General features: G+C 41.5%; 2 annotated features.

The window, feature by feature from the left end:
• Positions 16,125-17,324: an enhancer, noted in NCBI's record as "BRD4-independent group 4 enhancer chr2:118380535-118381734 (GRCh37/hg19 assembly coordinates)". NCBI's record gives its function as "activates an origin of replication core promoter dependent on BRD2, P300/CBP, MED14 and CDK7 cofactors, and independent of BRD4, by STARR-seq in HCT116 cells {active_cell/tissue: HCT116}" and the evidence as "EXISTENCE:reporter gene assay evidence [ECO:0000049][PMID:35650434]".
• Positions 16,406-17,268: an enhancer, noted in NCBI's record as "NANOG-H3K27ac hESC enhancer chr2:118380816-118381678 (GRCh37/hg19 assembly coordinates)". NCBI's record gives its function as "activates a minimal SCP1, AML or CMV promoter by ChIP-STARR-seq in primed H9 embryonic stem cells {active_cell/tissue: H9 hESC(primed)}" and the evidence as "EXISTENCE:reporter gene assay evidence [ECO:0000049][PMID:30033119]".

Genomic DNA, 26,388 nt, shown 5'->3' on the forward strand with positions numbered 1-26,388 from the left:
TGAATTTGTCCTTAGAATGTATTGTCTTGTATTGATAGTGATGTTTTCCCATGTGCAAGGCTAAAACTACACACAGCTAGGAAACTTTTGGGGCCACAGAAGGACAACCATTTCTGAAGGCTCTTAGAGAGAATATTAAAAGTTGTGTGGCCTCCTTGGTTCATTTAAGACTTTGTGCCTGAGCCTGGATAGAAGGGATACCCAAATGGATGTTCAGGTCTCAGTTAGATGTTGAAATATCTTCTTCATCAATAACTTCAGCAACTACTATGACTGTAAAGTAAATTATCCCCCAAATTTAGTGACCTAAAAAATAACAACATTTATTTTGCTGATCAATCTGCAAGTTGGGTCAGGCCTCATGGGAAAAGTTTGTCTCCAGTTCAGTCTGTGATAGCTGGGGTAGCTTGAAGGCCAGAGCTAGAATTGTCTTCTGAGAGCTCACATACTCACAGTTTGGTGTCTGGGCTAGAGAGGTTCCAACAGCATGGGCTGGAAGAGCTTAGCCTCCTCAAGTGATTCTGTCTCACTGTGCTCTCTCCATGGGGTCTCTCCAGGCACCGGTGACTCAGCATTTAAGTCAGGGTGGTTGGACTTCTTACACATTGGCTCAGAAATCTCAAGGTGCACGTTCCAAGAATGAGTGAGCCAGGGCACAGAGGGAGGGAAAGACATCTGCATCTTGGTGATGAAGTTCAACATTACATTGTGAGAAGAGCAAATGGGATGGAATAGATAGAAGGTGAAGATTTTTAGAAAATATTATCTGCCACAACTACCTTTTATCTTTAGCCAACAATTGATCTCTCCTCTTCTGATTCCACTTCCACTTTAACTACATTCTGGTTCTTGCAGGTCTTGATCTTTGCTTCAGTGTCCTGCTGACAGGTTTAAGGTATAAAAGCTAAAACCTGGGGTTAGATTGAAGCAAACACTACTCTGTTTCTTGCTATTTGTGTAACTTTAGATAAATACTCTTTTTGATCTATATCTCTTACCTGGACAAAAGTGGGAGTGAAACTGCCTTCCCACATCATTGTTCTCAATCAATAATACCTTCTTTCCAATTCCTATTGGTCTTCCACCTGGTCCACAGAGACCAGATACCTCCCTTCTGTGCCTGTCCTTCTGGACAGCCCCTTCCCTAGGCTGTCCAGGCCTTGTGAGAAAACAAAATAAAGCCTCCAATAAATACATATAAGTAAAGTACATTCACTTCACTAGCACTGCCTGCTCATGATAAACTACTTAATCATGTGCTAATGGTGAGCAGTGACTTTCCTGATGCCAGACATTGGAGGCTCTGGGTGCCCTCTGTGCCCCAGTGTTAATTACTTCCTTGACTAACTCCAAGAGACACTTACTAAATTTTGAGACTCTCTGCCTATGAAGGGGCACACACAACTATGGCTGATGTCTCTTTCACTTTTTGAATTACAGAATAAAAATGCCAGCCAAGGTAGAAAGAAAGAGTCTTGCTGAGGCAGGGGAAAAAAATAGACAGCAATGCGTTGAACCAGGACCCATCATTTAGGGAGCAGTAGAAGCTGTGAGATGCAGAGGCTGTGAGATACAGCTCTGCCTAACCGCAAGAGCCAAGTAGACCTGAATTCCAGTGAATCCTCACCCTGCACTTAGAAATACTGTGGTCCTGGGCTGCCTACTTAGCTTCCCTCAGCCTCAATTTCATCTGTAAAATGGAGTTAGTGATACCTACCTCGTAGATTTGTTGTAATAGTGATATATTTTTTTTTTTGAGACAGCATCTCACTCTGTCACCTAGGCTGGAGTGCAGTGGCGTGATCACTGCTCATTGCAGCCTTGACCTCCCCAGGCTCAGGTGATCCTCCCACCTCAGCCTCCCAAGTAGCTGGGACTATAAGCATGTGTCACCACACTGGGCTAATTTTTGTATTTTTTGTAGAGACAGAGTTTCACCAGGCTGCCCAGGCTGGTCTCTAACTCTTGGATTCAAGCAATCCGCCCACCTCAGCCCAACACTTTGTAATTTCAACAAAGTGTTGGAATTACAGGCTTGAGCCATCGCACCCAGCAATAATCTTTCAATATGCCTGATAAAGTGTGAGCAGTAAACGCCAGATACCACTACTAGTACTGGTACTACTGTTATTATCATTACTCAAAATAAAACATCAGTCTGGTTTGAAAATACCTCATTATTATTTAGTACCCAAGGCAGCCAACATCAGACCAAGGCAAAGGTAAATAATGAGATAGCAGAAAGTGATGACCCTTGAATTTGCTTAGTGATCCTAGTAGTGATGTCAAGGCATTCCTGTCAATGTTCTCTGATTATTCACTTATCTTTCCTAAGCTTTGTCACTTGAAAAGTTCTCCAAATCAAAAACCATAAACTAAATTTGAATCCCAGCTTTATTGCACTTCCTATCTGTCTGACTTCAAACAAAATAAAAAACACTTTATTTGATTTCTTGTTCTATGAAGTAGAAATAATACCTATATCTCCTGCTTGTTTAAGAAATTGCATGTAATGCCAGGTATAGTGGCTCATGCCTGTAATTCCAGGACTTTGGGAAGCTGAGGCAGGAGGGTTGCTTGAGGCCAGGTGTTTGAGACCAGTCTGGTCAACATGCAAGACCCTTGTCTCTGCTAGAAATAAAAAATAAAATAAAATCAGCTGGGCATGGTGGAACATGCCTGTAGTCCCAGCCACTCGGGAGGCTGAGGCAGGAGGTGGGAGGGTGGCTTGAGCCCAGGAGTTCAGGCTACAGTGAGCCATAATTGTGCCACTGCATTTCAGCCTCGGCTACACAGTGCAAACCTGACTCTAAGAAAGAAAAAAGGAAGAAAGAAAGAGCAAAAAGGAAGAGAGAGAGAGAAAGAAAGAGAAAGAAAGAAAGAAAGAAAGAAAGAGAGAGAGAGAGAGAGAGAGAGAAAGAAAGAAAGAAGGGAAGGATGGAAGGAAGGAGAGAGAAAGAAAGAAAGAAGAAAGAAAAAGAAAGAAGAAAGAAAGAAAGAGAAAGAAAGAAAGAAAAAGGGAGGGAGGAAGGAAGGAAGGGAGCGAGGGAGGGACGGAAGGAGGGAGGAAAAAGAAAGAAAAAAGAGAAAGAAAGAAAGAAGGAAGGAAGGAAGGAAGGAAAGAAAGAGAAAGAAAGAAAGAAAGAAAGAAAGAAAGAAAGAAAGAAAGAAAGAAAAAGAAAAAGGAAGGAAGGAAGGAAGAAAGAAAGAAAGAAAGAAAGAAAGAAAGAAAGAAAGAAAGAAAGAAAAAGGAAGGAAGGAAGGAAGGAAGAAAGAAAGAAAGAAAGAAAGAAAGAAAGAAAGAAAGAAAGAAAGAAAGAAAGAAAGAGAAAGAAAGAGGGAGGTTGGGGGGAAGGGAGGGAGAAATAAAAGAGAAAAGGAAAGGAAAGAGTACGTGTAGCATTCCTAAAATGCCTGGTTTGCAGTAGAAGCAACACAAATATCAAGGTATACTATCTCCTTGAACTCAGGAAATAGTGAAGCTTCTTCAGCCTAGGGAGGAAACATGTCCTGCATTCTGCACCCTCCACATACTGCTGTTGCCCACACCAAGTACACATAGATACACACACTTACACACACATATACACACCACACACATATGCACACATTCTCAAACACTAGAATGGGTGTCGGTTCTTCTCCATTGTCCCTTAGGTGATCCCTCTAAACCATCTTGGAAAAGAAAGCAATACATACCTTGTATAAAACATAACATAGAGGAGATTGCTCTGACTCTGTCACTGTGGTCACAGTATATTTTCCACCATGCTTTGTGAATTATGGGCCATGTTTTCAGGCTGCTGAAGGATTCACAAACCCAAGATGATCATCACAATTTTCTGGGAACTTCTATAAGAACACATACTTGGGTCCCACCACAGATCCACTGAATCAGAATACATAGGGCTGGCATCCTGAGAGCTATATTTTTAAAAGATCCCTGTATGAGTCTAATGATCCACCAGATCCAAGAACTACTTGTGGCCGGGCGCAGTGGCTCACGCCTGTAATCCCAACACTTTGGGAGGCCGAGGCGGGCAGATCACGAGGTCAGGAGATCGAGACCATCCTGGCTAACACGGTGAAACCCCGTCTCTACTAAAAATACAAAAAATGAGCCGGGCGAGGTGGCAGGCGCCTGTAGTCCCAGCTACTCGAGAGGCTGAGGCAGGAGAATGGCGTGAACCCCAGGGGGCGGAGCTTGCAGTGAGCTGAGATCGCACCACTGCACTCCAGCCTGGGCAACAGCGAGACTCTGTCTCACAAAAAAAAAAAAAAAAAAAAAGAACTACTTGTATGATTCTCATAATCATTCTGCAAGCTGGCTGCTGATGGAATAATTAATGCATTTATAAGACGAGGAATATGAGTCGGAGTAAGATTTGGCCAAGCAACAAGCCAGTGAGTGGTAGAGACAGGTCTAAAATGGCTTTTGGACTCCTAGTCCACCCCTGCTGTTCACCAGCTGTGTGACTATGCATATGTTACTTAGATTCTCTGAGCTTTCATTTCCCTGTATATAAAATACATACTCCTAACCCCTATAGAAATGTGGTAATAAAACGAGGTGATGTGCGGAAACATAATTGCACACTTGGTATACAAATAAGAGATGCTGTCACAATTTAAATTCAGGGCTAGAACTTCTCTAGCAGTTAGGATCTCAGTTCCCCATACAGACAACCAGGTAGACTGCCTCTGTAACTGCAAAGTGCTGGTGTGCCTATCCTTATTCCCCGTCTTCTGTAACTGCCCCCAAAACACAGAGCCCCTCTAGCAGCCATATTTGTACAGTTTGATTCCTCTGGCCACCACTGATCAGACCAGGAGTGAACATTTGCCCCAGAGTGTCTTCTAGGAGAAACTAGAATTGGAAGCAATTGATAGTCCCACTGAGTGACTAGAATTTGTGATATGGTTTCTAATGTGGCCACTTTCCACGCATTTGTGGACTGAAGGGCTGAGAAAGCCTTCTGCTGAGAAAGAAGAAACAGCCACACAGCATGAGAAGCAACAATGACAGGGCCAAATAAAAGTACTCCGTATAGCTTTCCATTTTCTGGTTCCAGTCCATTCCTGAGACCTCCGTTCATTCCTTAAAACACTTCATTATCCTTATAATAAATTCCCATTTTGTGCCTCAAGCTAGTTCAAATGAGTTTCTCTTACTGTAATCCAAAAACAGCTCTAAGCCATGCAGGTCCCCCAATCACTTTAACAAATGCTTCTGCCGATGAGGGAGACAGTACACAAGATACAAGTCAAGGCCAGGTGCCTTTGCCCTTCAGCAGTTCTACAGAAGTCAGGTCTTTCTTTCTCCATCCATTTGTTTCCCTTGGGAAACAGCAGCTCCTCTGAGGTTTCCCATATCTAGGGAGAGGAGGTGGAATGTTCTTGCCATCTGCAATGATGAGGACCAACATGTCTGAAATCTTCTTTCAAAAACCTCCAGGGTGGCTTCTTGGCATCCTGCAGTTGTTAAGCAAATCCAAAGGCAGAGAAAATAACCAGGAAACCGTGTTGAAACTTATGTGACTTCATGAAAGGCAAATCTATTCTAACTTCTGTTGTGGGCTTGAAAGCCAGTATTTTCCAAATCCCTGATAAGAAAGCTAAGAGCCACATTTTCGGTTGATCTAGAGTGAGTGTCCTATGTAGTGGCATTTTTATATTGGTATCATTCCTGGATCCATTTTATATTCCTAACCTTGCCTTGACTTTTTTTTTCTTTCTTATTTCTAATATGTTATTTTGCTGCATTTTAAGACTCCTTAAATCCTTTCTGGAACAAGAAGCAATATAACAAAATAAAAACAGATTTCCCCTTTGTTACCAGAAGAATTCTTCCACTTTTATGTTACACATAGGCATGTAAAATGATGGATAGTCAGAAATAAAATATTTAGGTTCAGTGTTCCATCAGTCACCATGAGGCATTTATTGTGCACTTCTTATGTGCAAGGAACTGTAAGGACTACAAATAAGTGTAACAAACAGCAGAAAAGAGGCATAGTCCACAGACAGGGCATGCATCTACGAAAGAAAAAATATTCAGGAATGCAAGGCCATAAATAAAAGCAATCTTTGTAGACTGGGATGGGCAGAGAAACTGATGTGAAGGTGGGAGGGCTTCAGTTGGATGCTGAGGAATATAGAGAATTCTAATATGAGGAAAGATAAAGAAAACTTAGAGCACACGAAAGGAGAGAATTAAAGTCACAGAGAATGGCATAGTGTGGGGTTCCCAGACTTGAGCATTAAAATCACCTAGAGCCCAGGCAGCTGGGCCCAACCTCCAGAGTTCCTGATTCCACAGGTCTGGGGTGGGGCCTAGAAAGGTGCATTCCTCAACAAGCTCCCAGGTGATTCCCTTGCTACTTGCTAAGGACCCATATTCTGAAAAACACTGACTTAACAAAGAGAGTTCTCCACGCAGCACTGAAGACAGGAGTGGCCCCTCAGCCCAGGTGAGATGGAGGTTCCTGTCACAAGAAGAGAAGTGGGGAAGGTTTGCTGGGTTCACTGCATGCCGCCCTCTGTGCAGAGAACCGGCCCCACGTGTCCCTGTGTCTTCCTTTGAGCTGCTCAGGACCTCCCCTCCCAGCTTCTCTCTCTGTCTTTAACTAAATTGTTCACGATTTGCAGCCATATGAAGGAGCCACAGTATATTAGCATTTTATTTCATTGGCTTTGCTCCTTGAGAGAAATCCCAAACCCACCCCAAGCCCAAACCAAACCATTTCCTCAGACAGTTTCATTCAGCCTTGCCCTACCTGTTCTCTTCCTGGGAAAGCCTAACATCTCTAGCAAATCCGCACTTAACTCACACACTATGTGCCTCATCCGACTATGACCACTGCTCTGCCTCTGGCCCTCACAGCAGTTGGGAACCCTGGACACAATTATCTCAGGGTATGCAATGATGGGCCAAGGCAAGCCTTCCTGCCTGCCTCAGGTGCTGTATCTCTAGTTAGACTGAGGGACATGTGATAGACTTGGGGGTCAGACAGACCAGGGCTTAAATCCTCTCAGTCTATCACACTTGCTACTTTGGTGATTTTGCAAAACCTCTGGATAGCACAGCCTCAGTTTCACCATATTGTATAGAAGATAAAACAATGCCATCATTATTTTAGGAATTTGAGATAAATAACGGGGCCTGATATAACATGTGCCCAATAATGGAAGCAATTTTTGTGACTATCCCATTGTTTACGGCCATGTCTTCATTATCTAACAGGTATTCATTAACTGCCCTCTCTGTGTAATGCTTGATATGTATTTCATTTGGCAAGATAAGATGTATGCAAATGATTATGATACAAGACGTCATAAAGTTAGCACCATGCAATGGTAGGACAATCATTACAAAGCTCAAAGGACATTTCATCTGTGGTCCTCATGGCAAATTTCAAGAAAGTGGTGCAAACTTACAGTATGTGTATGAAGACTCTGCCAACAACTGCGGATAGCTTTCCAACTGGATGGACTGACAAGAGAAGTGGTCCTGAAGAAAGACTGTGAAATTTTGTCTGGCAGATGTGAGTATCTGGTGGGACTTCAGAGGTCCCTTGGGTCCCTAGAGGACGCTTGGGAGAAAGGCTACGGATGGGTCTGATCCAAGAGGGCTTCCAGGAGTGGACACTCATATCCATGCATACATATTCATATTCATGCAAACGCACACACACATTTCCAAACACACATACTCATTTCCATGCATACACACTCATATCCAAACACACACACTCATTTCCATGCATACACACTCATACCCATACACACACACACACGCACACTCATACCCCCCCACACACACACCCATACTCACATACACACACACATTCTTATTAAAGAATCAGGGCCTAGGAAATGCCAGTTGATGCAACACAAGAAATAATTTAAAATGTCTTGGGTGGTCGTCTCAGAGACAAGAACCCATGGTCAATATTACAAATTAATCAATCAGGAAGCATTACATGGGGCTATGCACAGCTCAGGTGCTCTATGTGACACAATTGGACTGGCCTCTAGGTTCCTAGGGAAAACTTTCTCTCCAACTAACATGTAACAGCCTTTCAAATCCTGCCTGTTGGTTAAGACACTGAAAGCCCTGATTAAACTTCAAGACTTGCTGTGTTTGATTCCCTGGGGAGCAGACGCTGAGATGGAGATGTGCATGCAGGAAGTTGATTAGGCAGAGCCCTCAGGCTCCACACCTGTGGAAGGAAGAGAAGGAATCAGAATGGGCAGAGGGACAATTTGGGCTGCACTGCAGGTGCAAAAAGCCCTCAGCTGATTCCAGGGGAGCTCTGAAGCTAAGCTGGCTCTTCAGAGTTGTCCCACATTGAAACATGGGGCTCAAGCTTTTATATGTCCCTGTTGGTCAGTCAACTGATGCCAGGAAATGAGGCAAGAGTTTGGGCCAGGTGGCTCCCTTTAGCCAAGACATTTCCCAAAGGTGGCTGAGGGCTGCCTGGCAGCAGTCTTCTCACCACTGGGGTGTAAATCCTCACTCTTGAGTGGGTAGCTGTAGAGCACAGCCAGCATTCCCTGCATGTGTTAATGTGCAACTGTACTGGCCCTTTACTCTGAATCTGCTTCACCAGGGCAAGGCCAGGCAATAAAGAGATACTGACTGGGAGAGTGAAAATGACAAGAAAGTTAATAGCAGGGACCCCCATCCAGGCAAAGCTCACCTGGGTCAGGTAAAATAGGGGACCCTGGACCACCAGGGGGAAACTGAGAGCAATAGGGCCCTGGCAGAGGAGCAGGCACAAAGCAAGAAGGAAAGAAGACCACCATAATTAACCTTCACCAAGACGGGTAACTTAGTCAAGGACTGTTATAATAAATAATAACGTATCTAGGATTGTTTGCATACCTACTATGCACCTAGCACTGAGTTTTTCAGAAACATCACACCTTAGGACACCTCAGCAAGATTAGTATTATGAAGCCCATTTTATAGAAGAAGAAACTGAGATTCAGAAAGAAGATTCCTGCCAAGATTACAGAGCCTGGGTGTGGCAGGCCCATGATTAAGTCTTCCTGACTCCAAATCCATGCTGTTCTCACCTCAGAGCACCATGACTTTCCAGAGTCCCAGTATTCCAACGAGGTGTGTCAGGGCTCATCATGGAGTTTAAAAAGAAGGCCCAACGCCCACCCTGGCTTCAGCAAAGAAGCCTCTGCTTGTAGAAAGAGATTCAGTCAACATTCCATTGCGGATGAGAAAGACAGATATGCAGGCACCACTCTGCTTCTGCCAGTACTGCCTGAATCTATGAAGGCTCTTCCTTGTGGACCACTTTCAGTCCAAGCATACAATGCAGCACAGTGGTTAAGATCATGTCCTCTGAGGTCAGACCACATGGGCTCAAATTCCTACCCAAGGAGCTCTGTGAACTTCAGCAATTATTTAACTTCCCTGTGCCTCAGTTTCCTCATCTGTAAAATTGAGGTTATAACAGAATTATCTTCTTAAGTTGTTGTGTAAATTAATTAACACATGTAAAATGCTTAGAATATTCAGCAAATACTAAGCACTATATGACTGTTGTTTGATTTGGATGTGGAGGGGAATGAGAATGGGATGCTAGTAATGACTCCAAGGTTTGGGGGAGTCTTCAGTGCACAGATGGTCTTTAATGCATAGGACGGAATGCATCCACTTAGGGATTGAGAAGAGACAGGGAAGAAGATAAGAAGATGTCAAACTGAGCCCTGGGACCATCCCGCCCCCCTCACCTTTAAAGGTCAAGAAGAGGACTGGGGTCTAGTACAGGAGAGTGAGGAGGGGAAAACCAATGGAATAGGGAAGTCAGTGTCCTAGAAGCCATGAGAAGAAAATGCTTTAAGAAAGTTGTGAACAACCTTCAAATGCTGCCACAAAACTGATTAGGTAAGATAATGAAGGAAAGCTGACCACTGGATTTGGAAATATGGTAGTATTGATAAGCTTGACAAGAGCATCTTGGTAGAGAGTCAGGGACAAGGTCCTGCTGTGCATTATTTCATGGAAAAGGAGGAGCCGAGGAAGCACTAATTACTCTTTGAAAAGCTTTGCTGTAAAGCCAAATCAGGTGGAAGTGGGAAGTGATTGAAGATAATAGAGAATTATTGAAGATGGAAGATATTAAGGTATGCTATAGGCTCATAAGAATGACCCAGGAGAAAAAAAAAAATGATAAAGTGAGAGAGAGAAGGGCTGATGGCTCAAGCAATGCCCTTGGGTAGGGGAGAATGGATGGGATCTAGAGTGCAAGGAGACAGGCCAGGTTCATTTGTACCTGAGGGAGGACAAGGATGGGAGCATAGGTACAGCAGGTGGTAGAGTGGGTGAAAAACATGGGGCCAGGAGTCTTTCCTAACACAATATTGATTATCTCTTCTAATCAGGAAACTGATGGCCCAAGACCTTAGGAGAGTTTCTAAATCATACAGCTGGTTAACAGCAAAACCACTCTTATTTCCCCTATGAAATTATCCTACCACATCTCAACCCCATTGAAAATGTGTGTTACTCTTCCTGCAACTGGCTGGATTGTTCCTTACAGACTCATGGTTGTTGTTTTATTTGTTTTGTTTTGTTTTTACTGATCCTGGGTTTCTCTTGAACTCTTTGGTCATCTGCCAGCACTAATGTAATGAGAAGTTTGGAATTGTGCCCTGAATTTCCACTTGCAGAGATTTTTAAATCTCCCATTGACCATTTCAGAGGAAGAAGTATGTAAATTTAAAAAAATAGGATCCATTGGGTCCACCTGACGTTTCTTCATGATGGGGGCAGGTAACCCCTGACTTGGGACTGCAGTGCCCAACAGAGTGTCCTCCCCACAATGGATGTTTGTGGAAATCTATTGAACAACTCAGTGAACCATTTATATTATAAGCTGCTGGAACTTCTGTAACTGAGCCAATTCTCTCTCAGGCCTAATATTCATTCCAGTGTTTCTACTGTGAATGCAGCACACCTAAGGGCTGGTCCTTTTCAGATTTGTTTCTAGGCTGACAATTGAACAATAATTCACAGTCATCTACAAAATTCACAGTAATTTCAAATTACATAGGCCCAATTATTGGTGCCAAGCCCCAGGGGTTAACTGCTAGGTTACCATCAGAAAACAACAAGTTTAACCACAGGATGGCTAAACCAGGGTATCATAAAGACCGAGTCAGAAGCCTATATGGTGTGTATATTCCATGTGGCCCTTGAAGGGACTTCTGCTTGGCACAATGGAGACCAGCTAGATATGGAGAAGTGACCAGGTACATTCCAATCTCTGTCTATTCATAGGTTCCTGAGCCATTCTTGACCTCAGAAGGCTACCTACTAATCCCTGCTATCATTTTAATTGGTTGTCAAGCTGTGAATTCTCTGCCAGACTTCCCCCAATGCAGGCAGCCCTTCTTTCCTCAGGAGTCTAGGGAGCACGTTACCTTCTACCCCTGCTCACAGGAATGTGGTAGTGCCCAGGGCAAGAGAGGGGCTCACACCTGCTGCATGAAAGAGGGTATAAATGAGGATTTGAATCACAACATCAGATTTTTTCATCTTCTGATTTAAATGTTAACCTTCAATGAAAACATTGCAATGGTCAGGAATTTAACAAATTATTAGAAGAAAACTAGAGGAGTAAACTTGAGTTCTTTCCTCTCAAAAGGAAGATGATGTCATGGAATAACCAGTGAGAGTAATCAATGGGATGTTGTCAGAGTACAACAATATTTGTCCATGAGGTGGCTTGTGCTCTCTGCCATAGACAATGCTGAGCTTTGGGAGCCACACAAAATTTAAACCTAATCACAGCCCCACCTTTACTAGCCATGTGACCTTAAGCCAGTCACGTAACCTCTCTAAGCCTCATATTCCTTGACTGTAAAATAGTATCTATACTCCAGAGTAGTTGGGAAGATTAAATGAGATAAACATACAAGAGGATCAGCCTGGAGCCTGCCCCCTTCTGGAAGCTCACTCATCCTGAGCTCTTTCCTCCACACCATGATGGGTGATGAGCCACCAGTCACTCAGGAAATGTTAAGAACTTTTAAATCACCTACTGTGCCCACATATGTAGCCAGCACTTCAGGTGGTGAATGTATACGTAAATGCATTTTCCTAATGTTTCTTTCTGGCCTATTCAATTCTTGATGTAGCATTTCAATTTAACAGGCCAAGCTAATGGGAGTAGCTGGTTAACACACAAAAATTAGTGAATATCATTTCCGATGTCTAAATGCTGAAGAAAAAATAATATTTGAGGCACATTCTACTTTTTGCTAAAGAATGGAGTAAAATCAGTGTGGATAACATTGGGGCATCTATTGCCCTGGGAATACATGCTAATTTAAAACAGAGAGGAACAGAAAGGGATGAGTGATCTGCGACACTCAAACATCTGGATCCGGTAAGAAATTTCAAATCTGACTGTTTGTATTTTAAACCTTAGGGCAGGAATGATGTCTTTTTTAATCCGTACAGCCCCAAGGATGCTGTTGGCGCTCCACAAGCTGAAATAAAATAGTATTATTTATAGTTTGCCATGTACATTTTGTCAAGCCTCTTGAGTCTGATACATCCAGTTGGGATGACTCCTAGCAGCTACTTAGACACTAATTTCTAAGGATATGACAGAGTTTTCTTCTCCTTTCTTTCCAGAACTGGTTGCTGTGGGCATCCTCCAAGTATAAAGAAATCACTCACCATCCAGGGAGCCCTCCTGAATTATCAGAGGAGCTGCCAGTACTCCCAGCCCACTTTCTCTCGCCATGAATCTCCGTTGGTTGCTCTTCTAATAGCCATCTAGAAAAAGGTTTATGCATGTCTCTCATTCCCATAATATAAAAATTGCTAAACTAACTTATTGTGTATAACAATTAAACTAATATGCAATATCTAATTACTAGGTAACATGTAACTGCGAGCAGACTATCATGGTTCAAATCCCAGCTCTGCCGCTTATCAGCTATATGACTAGCAAGTCTTCCAACACTTTGTGCTTCATTTCTTTACGGATAAAAGTGGGACTTTATTATTACTTATTTTACAGCGTGGTTATAAAGAGTTGAATGGATTAATACATGTATAACATATTTAGAACAGTTCCTGGCACACAGTAAGGACCATTGAAGTATTGGCTATTTTTGTAAGAGCTGAAAGACACAGCTAATGTTCAGTGCAAAGCAAAGCACCCAAAACCCATTTGTAACGAAATAATTTAGTTAACCATATCAGTCACAGAAAACTCAGCCACACAATCTCTCCATTTGGCTTCCTTCTCTGACAAAAATAATGTCATCAAAACAACTACTGTCTAACACAAACCCAATGATAGTTGTCAACTGTAATGTAAAAACTGCCCATTCAGAAACCTGCCTTACTCCATTTTGAAAAAGTTGAACACGAACAGCTAAGTTTGTTGGAAAAAAAGGAAAAAAAAAGAATGCCTGTGATACTAACTTTTGAGGTCAGTTTATTTGAGTGAAGCACAGTAAGGCACTCAGAGCAATTCACAGAAGGGACATCACAGAGGCACTGCCTCTTCCCCACTCACTCATCCTTGCGCTTCAGCCAGGCCTAACTACTCACCGCCCTCCAATACACGCGGTGTCCTGTGCCGGTCATTCTTGTAAGCGATGCTCCATCCACCTAAACAGCCCAATCTCTCCCTACCACCTTGTCCTCTCTGGAAACTCTATTCAATTTGACTCAACAAATTTCTCCTCAAAATATCCCCTGATTTCCAAGCAAATTTGATACCTCTCTGCTTTATATTCTACAAAGCTCATCCTTTGAATTGCTTTCTTACAGTTTATTCTTTTGTCTCTCATTGCTATTAAACACTGAGATTCTTGAAGGCAAGGATTGTCCCTGATGTTTTTTTACATCCCTAACTTCTAGAAAAATGAAAGGTATGTAATAGAAAAGTGATAACTGCTTGATATTTTCATTAATTCAAATATCGGTAGGGGGAAGCCTTTTTTAAAAAAGAAATTAGAAGCATACCTGTATGCATAAAACATAGATCACCACTTAACAATTTCCTGAGGTTTTGACCTGCCAAGAGACTTCCCCAAGTCTCAGATCACCTTATTAACAAAATAAAACAAAAATGGGAAACGGAAAAACTCCTGTGAAGTGAGAGGCTGAGAATTCCAATATACTAAAATGTGTCCTGGTTCTAACTTAGGAACCCATTTCAGAAAATCAGAAATATCAGTTAGACACTGTTTTGATTCCTTCATTAAAGCCCAGATGAAGGGAAATCACCATCTACAAGTGAATCCTTGCACAGAAGACAACACATGATCAGAGGCTCTAGCTGGTGCACATTGGCAATGGGAGAAGGAAGGAGCAGAGAATGAAATTAATTTTTCTAAATTATTAATCTAGGCTAATAGATTAAACTATTAATCTAGGAATTTCAAGACAAAAAATAATCAGTTCTATGATTTATTTCATTCTGTACCTATATCTCACCCTCCTTGTCCAAAGTAATTTTCTGCCCCAAAATAATAAAACATTCAATATTAGTCACTTTATTTGTGCCAGAAAATCAGACTCATGTACTATATTCATATCAGAAAGAAGCATATATTACAGGAGTTAATCAAACACACTATATAAAATTCATCCCAGCAGCCCTTTGTCAGATTCAAACCTGGGTAGAAGTCAGTTCAAGAGTGTATATCAAGAGTGACACCTATAGATGTATTAAGAAATGTGTTTATCATCTCACAGTAGAGAAGTAGGCTACATTATTTTTCAGTTTCATACCAAGTACCCCTATTATACTTTCATTATTTAAAGCATTTATTTACCACATATTTGCCCTTCTTTCATCTGTTTTCTTTCTTAAAACTGAAGTCTAAAGTGTCCAGAATGTCAAACACACAATGCATTTACATTTAAGTCAAACTCGTTTTCATACACAAAACAAAAAGCAGAAAATTAATCAGCTTATCCATTTTAACACAGGAAGAATGGAATGTCTCACCAAAGTTAATCTGCCTAAAGATAAACACAGTAAAGAAAACTGAACGTGAAAAAACGAATTAATCAATCCAGTGACAACTTTGAGGTGCTTGGTGAAAATAGAAGTTACTTGGCAAACATCCTCTTCAAAGTCAAAACCTTCAATCAGAATAAAGCAAGGCAGAGTGTAATCTCAACAGCTCATAGTGTGTCACTCAAACCATAAAGTCCTATGCAATTGAATTACAACATAGAAAATAGATTAATTTTGTATTAGCACTCTCTACACTTGCTCCAAAAACAACATCCAGGGATCTTAAGTTCTCTGAATAAATTTGATTATATTTATCTGTCCTGGTCAGAGCCCTGTAGCAACTCAGAGTAGGTGGCTTCACTTCCCACATCACACCAATCTCACAGTACAAACAGGATCAGAGTTCTGTAAATAAATAATGTCTACACAATAGCATAAAAATAGTTGAAAACAAAAAGTTTCAACAGAAATTTTCATAAAATAATATAAAGTTATGGTTTTAGATCATTTTCTCCCACTGAATTAATTAAAATAAACTTTGGTTTTAAAAAAACAAGCACAAAAATAAACACAAAAACCCAATCTTCACTGGAAGCAATCAAAATCAAAGGTAAACACTACTACTATCAAGTGCTATCCCCAGTTAATAGAAATAAAGAGGAAGCTACAGACGGTGGCCCACATCTGTAATCCCAACATTTTGGGAGGTCCAGGCGAGAGGACTGCTTGAGCCCAGGAGTTCAGGGCCAGCCTCAGCAATGAAGTGAGATCTTATCTCTACAAGAAAAAAAAAAAAAGCCAGGCATGGTGGCATGATGTCTGTACTCCCAGCTACTCGGGAGGCTGAAGCAGGAGGACCCCTTGAGCCTAGGAGTTCAAGGCTGCAGTGAACTATGATCCCACCACTGCACTCCAGCCTAGGCAACAGAGCAAGACCCTGTCTCTTAAAAAAAAGAAAGGAAGGAAGGAAGGAAGGAGGGAAGGAGGGAGGGAGGGAGGAAGGAAAGAAAGACAGAAAGAAAGAAAGAAAGAAAGAAAGAAAGAAAGAAAGAAAGAAAGAAAGAAAGAAAGAAAAGAAAGAAAAGAAAGAAAGAAGATAGAAGAGAGGAGAGGAGAGAGAGGAAGGAAGGAAGTATTCATTTTTTAGTTCACGTATGGCCATGCAAAAACATTAAAGTCTAAAAATGCTGGAACGAACACACTGAAAACTAATCAATATATTTTCTGGCAGACAAAGAACATTAATAGTAACAATAGCATTACGTAGGAGAGAAAAAAATACACTAAATCTGAAAACTTTGGTTCTAGTTTATTTTCGTTTTAACCTGGATGGACTTGGAAAAGATGAAAATCTTTGAATAAACCTCTAACTTTGTATTTCCTTACCTGTAAAAAAGAGTTCATAGGGAGGAGCCAAGATGGCCACATAGGAACAGCTCCTGTCTGCAGCTCCCAGCGTGAGCGACGAAGAAGACGGGTGATTTCAGCATTTCCATCTGAGGTACCGGGTTCATCTCACCAGGGAGTGCCAGACAGCGGGTGCAGGTCAGTGGGTGCGCACCCCGTGCGCGAGCCGAAGCAGGGCGAGGCATTGCCTCACTCAGGAAGCCCAAGGGGTAAGGGAGTTCCCTTTCCTAGTCAAAGAAAGGGGTGTCGGACGGCACCTGGAAAATCGGGTCACTCCCACCTGAATACTGCGCTTTTCCGACAGGCTTAAAAAAGGCTCATCACGAGATTATGTCCTGCACCTGGCTCGGAGGGTCCTACGCCCACGGAGTCTCGCTGATTGCTAGCACAGCAGTCTGAGATCAAACTGCAAGGCGGCAGCGAGGCTGGGGGAGGGGCGCCCGCCATTGCCCAGGCTTGATTCGGTAAACAAAGCAGCCTGGAAGCTCCAACTGGGTGGAGCCCACCACAGCTCAAGGAGGCCTGCCTGCCTCTGTAGGCTCCACCTCTGGGGGCAGGGCACAGACAAACAAAAACACAGCAGTAACCTCTGCAGACTTCAATGTCCCTGTCTGACAGCTTTGAAGAGAGCAGTGGTTCTCCCAGCATGCAGCTGGAGATCTGAGAACGGGCAGACTGCCTCCTCAGGTGGGTCCCTGACCCCTGACCCCCGAGCAGCCTAACTGGGAGGCACCCCCCAGCAGGGGCACACTGACACCTCACACTGCAGGGTACTCCAAAAGACCTGCAGCTGAGGGTCCTCTCTGTTAGAAGGAAAACTAACAAACAGAAAGGACATCCACACCAAAAACCCATCTGTACATCACCATCATCAAAGACCAAAAGTAGATAAAACCACAAAGATTGGGAAAAAACAGAACAGAAAAACTGGAAACTCTAAAACGCAGAGCGCCTCTCCTCCTCCAAAGGAATGTAGTTCCTCACCAGCAACGGAACAAAGCTGGATGGAGAATGACTTTGATGAGCTGAGAGAAGAAGGCTTCAGACAATCAAATTACTCTGAGCTACGGAAGGACATTCAAACCAAAGGCAAAGAAGTTGAAAACTTTGAAAAAAATTTAGAAGAATGTAAAACTAGAATAACCAATACAGAGAAGTGCTTAAAGGAGCTGATGGAGCTGAAAACCAAGGCTCGAGAACTATGTGAAGAATGCAGAAGCCTCAGGAGCCGATGCAATCAACTGGAAGAAAGGGTATCAGTGATGGAAGATGAAATGAATGAAATGAAGCGAGAAGGGAAGTTTAGAGAAAAAAGAATAAAAAGAAATGAGCAAAGCCTCCAAGAAATATGGGACTATGTGAAAGACCAAATCTACGTCCGATTGGTGTACCTGAAAGTGACGGGGAGAATGGAACCAAGTTGGAAAACACTCTGCAGGATACTATCCAGGAGAACTTCCCCAATCTAGCAAGGCAGGCCAACGTTCAGATTCAGGAAATACAGAGAACACCACAAAGATACTCCTCGAGAAGAGCAACTCCAAGACACATAATTGTCAGATTCACCAAAGTTGAAATGAAGGAAAAAATGTTAAGGGCAGCCAGAGAGAAAGGTCGGGTTACCCTCAAAGGGAAGCCCATCAGACTAACAGCGGATCTCTCGGCAGAAACCCTACAAGCCAGAAGAGAGTGGGGGCCAATATTCAACATTCTTAAAGAAAAGAATTTTCAACCCAGAATTTCATATCCAGCCAAACTAAGCTTCATAAGTGAAGGAGAAATAAAATACTTTACAGACAAGCAAATGCTGAGAGATTTTGTCACCACCAGGCCTGCCCTAAAAGAGCTCCTGAAGGAAGTGCTAAACATGGAAAGGAACAACCGGTACCAGCCGCTGCAAAATCATGCCAAAATGTAAAGACCATCCAGACTAGGAAGAAACTGCATCAACTAATGAGCAAAATAACCAGCTAACATCATCATGACAGGATCAAATTCACACATAACAATATTAACTTTAAATGTAAATGGAATAAATGCTCCAATTAAAAGACACAGACTGGCAAACTGGATAAAGAGTCAACACCCATCAGTGTGCTGTATTGAGGAAACCCATCTCACGTGCAGAGACACACATAGGCTCACAATAAAAGGATGGAGGAAGATCTACCAAGCAAATGGAAAACAAAAAAAGGCAGGGGTTGCAATCCTAGTCTCTGATAAAACAGATTTGAAACCAATAAAGATCAAAAGAGACAAAGAAGGCCATTACATAATGGTAAAGGGATCAATTCAACAAGAAGAGCTAATTATCCTAAATATATATGCACCCAATACAGGAGCACCCAGATTCATAAAGCAAGTCCTGAGTGACCTACAAAGAGACTTAGACTCCCACACATTAATAATGGGAGACTTTAACACCCCACTGTCAACATTAGACAGATCAACGAGACAGAAAGTCAAGAAGGATACCCAGGAATTGAACTCAGCTCTGCACCAAGTGGACCTAATAGACATCTACAGAACTCTCCACCCCAAATCAACAGAATATACATTTTTTTCAGCACCACACCACACCTATTCCAAAATTGACCACATACTTGGAAGTAAGCTCTCCTCAGCAAATGTAAAAGAACTGAAATTATAACAAACTATCTCTCAGACCACAGTGCAATCAAACTAGAACTCAGGGTTAAGATTCTCACTCAAAACCACTCAACTACATGGAAACTGAACAACCTGCTCCTGAATGACTACTGGGTACATAACGAAATGAAGGCAGAAATAAAGATGTTCTTTGAAACCAACGAGAACAAAGACACAACATACCAGAATCTCTGGGACACATTCAAAGCAGTGTGTAGAGGGAAATTTATAGCACTAAATGCCCACAACAGAAAGCAGGAAAGATCCAAAATTGACACCCTAACATCACAATTAAAAGAACTAGAAAAGCAAGAGCAAACATATTCAAAAGCTAGCAGAAGGCAAGAAATAACTAAAATCAGAGCAGAACTGAAGGAAATAGAGACACAAAAAACCCTTCAAAAAATTAATGAATCCAGGAGCTGGTTTTTTGAAAGGATCAACAAAATTGATAGACCACTAGCAAGACTAATAAAGAAAAAAAGACAAAAGAATCAAATGGACACAATAAAAAATGATAAAGGGGATATCACCACCGATCCCACAGAAATACAAACTACCGTCAGAGAATACTACAAACACCTCTATACAAATAAACTAGAAAATCTAGAAGAAATGGATAAATTCCTCGACACATACACTCTCCCAAGACTAAACCAGGAAGAAGTTGAATCTCTGAATAGACCAATAACAGGAGCTGAAATTGTGGCAATAATCAATAGCTTACCAACCAAAAAGAGTCCAGGACCAGATGGATTCACAGCCGAATTCTACCAGAGGTACAAGGAGGAACTGGTACCATTCCTTCTGAAACTATTCCAATCAATAGAAAAAGGGAATCCTCCCTAACTCATTTTATGAGGCCAGCATCATTCTGATACCAAAGCCTGGCAGAGACACAACCAAAGAAGAGAATTTTAGACCAATATCCTTGATGAACATTGATGCAAAAATCCTCAATAAAATACTGGCAAACCAAATCCAGCAGCACATCAAAAAGATTATCCACCATGATCAAGTGGGCTTCATCCCTGGGATGCAAGGCTGGTTCAATATACGCAAATCAATAAATGTAATCCAGCATATAAACAGAGCCAAAGACAAAAACCACATGATTATGTCAATAGATGCAGAAAAGGCCTTTGACAAAATTCAACAACCCTTCATGCTAAAAACTCTCAATAAATTAGGTATTGATGGGATGTATTTCAAAATAATAAGAGCTATCTATGACAAACCCACAGCCGATATCATACTGAATGGGCAAAACCTGGAAGCATTCCCTTTGAAAACTGGCACAAGATAGGGATGCCCTCTCTCACCACTCCTATTCAACATAGTGTTGGAAGTTCTGGCCAGGGCAATTAGGCGGGAGAAGGAAATAAAGGGTATTCAATTAGGAAAAGAGGAAGTCAAATTGTCCCTGTTTGCAGACCACATGATTGTATATCTAGAAAACCCCATTGTCTCAGCCCAAAATCTCCTTAAGCTGATAAGCAACTTCAGCAAAGTCTCAGGATACAAAATCAATGTACAAAAATCACAAGCATTCTTATACACCAACAACAGACAAACAGAGAGCCAAATCATGAGTGAACTCCCATTCACAATTGCTTCAAAGAGAATAAAATACCTAGGAATCCAACTTACAAGGGATGTGAAGGACCTCTTCAGGGAGAACTACAAACCACTGCTCAAGGAAATAAAAGAGGATACAAACAAATGGAAGAACATTCCATGCTCATGGGTAGGAAGAATCAATATCGTGAAAGTGGCCATACTGCCCAAGGTAATTTACAGTTTCAATGCCATCCCCATCAAGATACCAATGCCTTTCTTCACAGAATTGGAAAAAACTACTTTAAAGTTCATATGGAACCAAAAAAGAGCCCGCATCGCCAAGTCAATCCTAAGCCAAAAGAACAAAGCTGGAGCCATCACACTACCTGACTTCAAACTATACTACAAGCCTACAGTAACCAAAACAGCATGGTACTCATACCAAAACAGAGATAATAGATCAATGGAACAGAACAGAGCCCTCAGAAATAACGCCGCATATCTACAACTATCTGATATTTGACAAACCTGAGAAAAACAAGCAATGGGGAAAGGATTCCCTATTTAATAAATGGTGCTGGGAAAACTGGCTAGCCATATGTAGAAAGCTGAAACTGGATCCCTTCCTTACAACTTATACAAAAATCAATTCAAGATGGATTAAAGACTTAAACGTTAGACCTAAAACCATAAAAACCCTAGAAGAAAACCTAGGCAATACCATTCAGGGCATAGGCATGGGCAAGGACTTCATGTCTAAAACACCAAAAGCAATGGCAACAAAAGACAAAATTGACAAATGGGATCTCATTAAACTAAAGAGCTTCTGCACAGCAAAAGAAACTACCATCAGAGTGAACAGGCAACCTACAAAATGGGAGAAAATTTTTGCAACCTACTCATCTGACAAAGAGCTAATATCCAGAATCTACAATGAACTCAAACAAATTTACAAGAAAAAAACAAACAACCCCATCAAAAAGTGGGCGAGGGACATGAACAGACACTTCTCAAAAGAAGACATTTATGTAGCCAAAAAACACATGAAAAAATGCTCATCATCACTGGCCATCAGAGAAATGCAAATCAAAACCACAATGAGATACCATCTCACACCACTTAGAATGGTGATCATTAAAAAGTCAGGAAACAACAGGTGCTGGAGAGGATGTGGAGAAATAGGAACACTTTTACACTGTTGGTGGGACTGTAAACTAGTTCAACCATTGTGGAAGTCATTGTGGCGATTCCTCAGGGATCTAGAACTAGAAATACCATTTGACCCAGCCATCCCATTACTGGGTATATACCCAAAGGACTATAAATCATGCTGCTATAAAGACACATGCACACGTATGTTTATTGTGGCACTATTCCCAATAGCAAAGACTTGGAACCAACCCAAATGTCCAACAATCATAGACTGGATTAAGAAAATATGGCACATATACACCATGGAATACTATGCAGCCATAAAAAATGATGAGTTCATGTCCTTTGTAGGGACATGGATGAAATTGGAAATCATCATTCTCAGTAAACTATCACAAGAACAAAAAACCAAACACCGCATATTCTCATTCATAGTGGGAATTGAACAATGAGATCACATGGACACAGGAAGGGGAACATCACACTCTGGAACTGTTGTGGGGTGGGGGGAGAGGGGAGGGATAGCATTAGGAGATATACCTAATGCTAGATGACGAGTTAGTGGGTGCAGCGCACCAGCATGGCACATGTATACATATGTAACTAACCTGCACAATGTGCACATGTACCCTAAAACTTAAAGTATAATAATAAAAGAAAGAAAAAAAAAAGTTCATAGCTGACCCCATTTAACTCTAAGGATATAAACAGCCTTAGAAGTCATCATCATCACCACCATCATATTCATTATTCCCTCACCACCACTACCATTAGATAAATTATGGTCTGAGTCTATTTACACAATGTTATTATTTGTTACTCAATTCAACATGAATGTCAAAGACTTAATGGCCTAATTTCATCTTTAAAACATGGCCTGGAAAAAATTAACAGTACTAAACATTTTTGGTTTGAGCTAGAATTTGTGTAAGAACAGGCACATTATATTGTCCAGTTGACCCCTGTACCAGATTTATATAGTAATATTCATTTATCTTTTCTTCCAATTACCAAAGTAATAGGATTAATTCATGAGTAGACAATTTGGAAACTTTTGAAAAATGTAAAGAAGAAAATTCATTCCCACCTCAACCAATACCATCACCCTGAAAAACAGTGCTGTTAGCAAGTTGATGTCATTGTTAATAGATTTTATTTCATTTTTGTGATGTTGGGAAGGATGTAAGAATTATACATATTTTCCAAGAGCTGCTTTTGGATTAACCAGTTATATTGTTGTTTTGTTTTATTTTCATTAAGCTGTGCTCTTGTGGCTGTAGAATATAAGTGACCTGAAGTGTTTAAATAAAACCTTTAACACAAGCTATATTCATTCTCAAATAAAAGAAGGTAAAGAGGCAAAGGATTCCAAGTGACTGAATCCGATTCCATTTTTATCTTGGAAACATAAAAATAAGCTACATGGTATTTTTAAATATACTCGCACTGAGAATTTAAAATTACAACCTCCAGTGGAAGTAAGGTATGTGCTCTAATAAGCAAGCTCTACAGAGCTGTTCCCGTGAAAGCACTCAGAACAAGGGTCATCAAGGATGCCACATGCCTGAGGTTGTCCCTTTTTGCCCATCCTTTTGATAAAAGTCACCCTCCCACTGGCAGCAGAAATCAAGATGTGGGGAAGAACCAGAGAGCAGGAGATGCTTTTGCAGACCATTGGAAACACCCAAGCATAAGGTCAGGCAAGCGTGAAGCAGGCTGACCCCTCAGAGTTGTCAGGCCTTCTCAGTGAGGCCTTCCCTGACCGTCCACATAGAGGCCCTCCTTGCTTGCATCCCCTTAGCTCCCTGTGCTTACTTCTGCGGAAGCATCCATTGCACTGAACCTGCACACACTTGCTTATATGGTCTCTATCCCCCTTCTCTGTATCTCTTACAAACACCCACCCCTCAAGAAAATCTGATGAGTAAATTAATGAACAAATGAAGTTTGCCTGTTTCATGGCTTTATCATAGCCATTCACAAAAATCAGTTCTATGTTAAATACACACACACACACACACACACATACAAGCTTTTTAAATCTTCAGAGAAATCCCTTGAGAAGATGCAAACATCATCCACCTGACTTCCCCAGAGTCCCAGCAATCACAACAGTCTCTCTCAATCTTCCTTCTTTTTCTCTCCGCAGGCTGCTTCTTTGCTCTCTCAAAATTCCAACCACCCTGCTGGCCCATTTGAGCATTATAGGAACTGCTCCAATCTTTTCTTAATGAATATCAATTTATGTTTGCTCCATATTCATTCCAAAGTTAAACTGATTACTTAGATCGGCACAACAAAAGTCCAGGCTCGGTAGCCTCCTGAGAGCAAAGAATCCCTCTTTCTCAGAGCAGCCTTGAGGGAAGGGTATAAATACCGAAACATTAATATTGTTATCCTTGTCACATAAAAAAAATGAATTAATGATTTCCTGGATCCTCTCTGAGGATGACCTCAATGCCTCCATCTTGTGATCTTTTCATCTTATTACCATTTCTTCCCTAAAGTCTTCCCTCCTTAGATTCAGGAACTGTCATCTGTAAGTAATGGGCCATGTACACAGACCCTGTTTCTGTGATATACACAGTTGGGGGAATATTTCCACCCCACCCCCGTGTCTCCACAGGGTGCTCAATGCCTGTGTGTCATCCCTAAGCAATTTTCATCAACTCGCTCAGAACTTGCCTGAGGAGAATGGGGGCTGGAGCGGAACTGTCTCTTTAATGGGATTTTAATGTGATCTTCGGCAAACTAATCTTATTTAGATATCATAGGAAGCCATGTAATCTCATCTGGGCACTCTTATTTCCTACAGAAAAAGGAAAGATTTATAATTCATTTTCAGCAACAGGAACACTTTAATAAAATCTGCTTCAGAAGGTTAAATGATCAGACAAACAGCTGCAGCCCCAAGACCCTATATCCATCTCATTGATTGGAGCAACCATGACAACAAAATGACCACTCCAAAAGTTGTTTAAATTAAATCTATGCTAAGAGCTTATGCTACTGTCATATGCCTCTTTTCTTGCCAGTGTTTTAGAGTCATGCACTTAAGTGTTGAGGGAGGGTATGATGAAATGAGGCAGTGACTGAGAGGACTGGGTCCCTGCCATAGTTCTGCTACCTGGAAACTGGTGCCACCTTGAATTTAAGCTTCGGTTTCATTACTAAAAATAATGAAGCAACTACCCAGATTAAGACCAATGGTAGGCTCATGAGCAGGTGCTCCTTCAGAACTGTATATTTCAAATGTCAGCCCAAAGCATGGATAGAGGAGAGGCTGGAGACCATCATGAAGCAAAAGCACAGAGGAGGAAGACAGAGGTGATTGTGCCATTCTCTCTATTATTGACTCTAGCAGTCCAGCTTCAGTCCAAGCATGTATAATTCACTGGGATTCTCATTCTGGGAAATGCAATCTTCTCCATCTCAGACAGAGATGTTTTAATGCCTCACAGATTGGCTTCCTAGAAACCCCTCTAAGCATTATATCCTTAATCCAGCCATGCCTACTTCAAAAAATGCACTGGAACATCTAGAAAATTACTATTCATCAAGTTGAACAAATTAGAAATCTGTGAGTTATCTCTACTCCAGACCTTTCTTCTGTATGTAAATTTCTCTTACTCCAAAGTTTGAGCTCCTTCCAAAAAAAATGGGGGCTTGTCCATCAGTCTCCCCATGCAGCTAGCACAGAACCTGGCATATAATAAAGATTTGTGCTGAATGAATGTTTGTTGGGCAAGATAATGAATCTATATGTCATGCCTATGAGCTACAGGTCCCGGGGGTCTGTAGATATTATCTTCTTTAGTTCTCACCCCCCAAAAAAACCCACAAAATAGGCATTGTTTCCTTTTTAGAGACTAATAAAACTAAAGCTTAGAAAATGTGATTTGTCCAACATGCAAGTTGACATTTAAATTCTGAATTCTCTGATTCCAAAGTTAGGTTTTTTTCATTGTATCATGATTTCTCATGAGTTTCTATATAAACTATGAGTTAGTATTAATATTAGTTGATCAAAAGTATAAGCCATTGGTTTCTTTTAAAAATAAGTTAGTTCTTAAACACTCTAAACTTGCTTAAACACCAGAAAGTAAACAATTAATTGTCAAGACTGAACCCCTTTGCTGGGGGATTAAATCAGTCATATCTGCTGAGGTGTCTTCTCCCCCAGATCTTGCTCTGTCGCCCAGGCTGGAGTGCAATGGCACACTCTTAGCTCACTGCAGCCTTGACCTCCTGGGCTCAAGCCATCCTACCACCTCAGCCTCCCTAGTCGTGGGGACTGCAGGTGTAAACCACCACACCCTGCTAATTTTTGTAATTTTTGTAGAGAAGGAGTTTCACTATGTTTCCCAGGTTTGTCTTGAAATCCTAGGCTCAAGCAATCCGCCCACCTCAGACTCCCAAAGTACTGGGATTTATAGGCATGAGCCTCCGCACCCAGCCTCATCTCAATTTTTCTAAGAAAAACCTTTGTCCAAGGGAGAGCCAACCTTGTATGAGGTAAATATGGGCCACCACCCACATATATGGTAAGATTTAAAGTAAACTTCTACTTGCTCTCAAAATATAGATACCACTCTGTCTTAGCTCA

Source organism: Homo sapiens, chromosome 2 (genome assembly GCF_000001405.40).
Source record: "Homo sapiens chromosome 2, GRCh38.p14 Primary Assembly".
NCBI classification, from domain to species: Eukaryota; Metazoa; Chordata; class Mammalia; order Primates; family Hominidae; genus Homo; species Homo sapiens.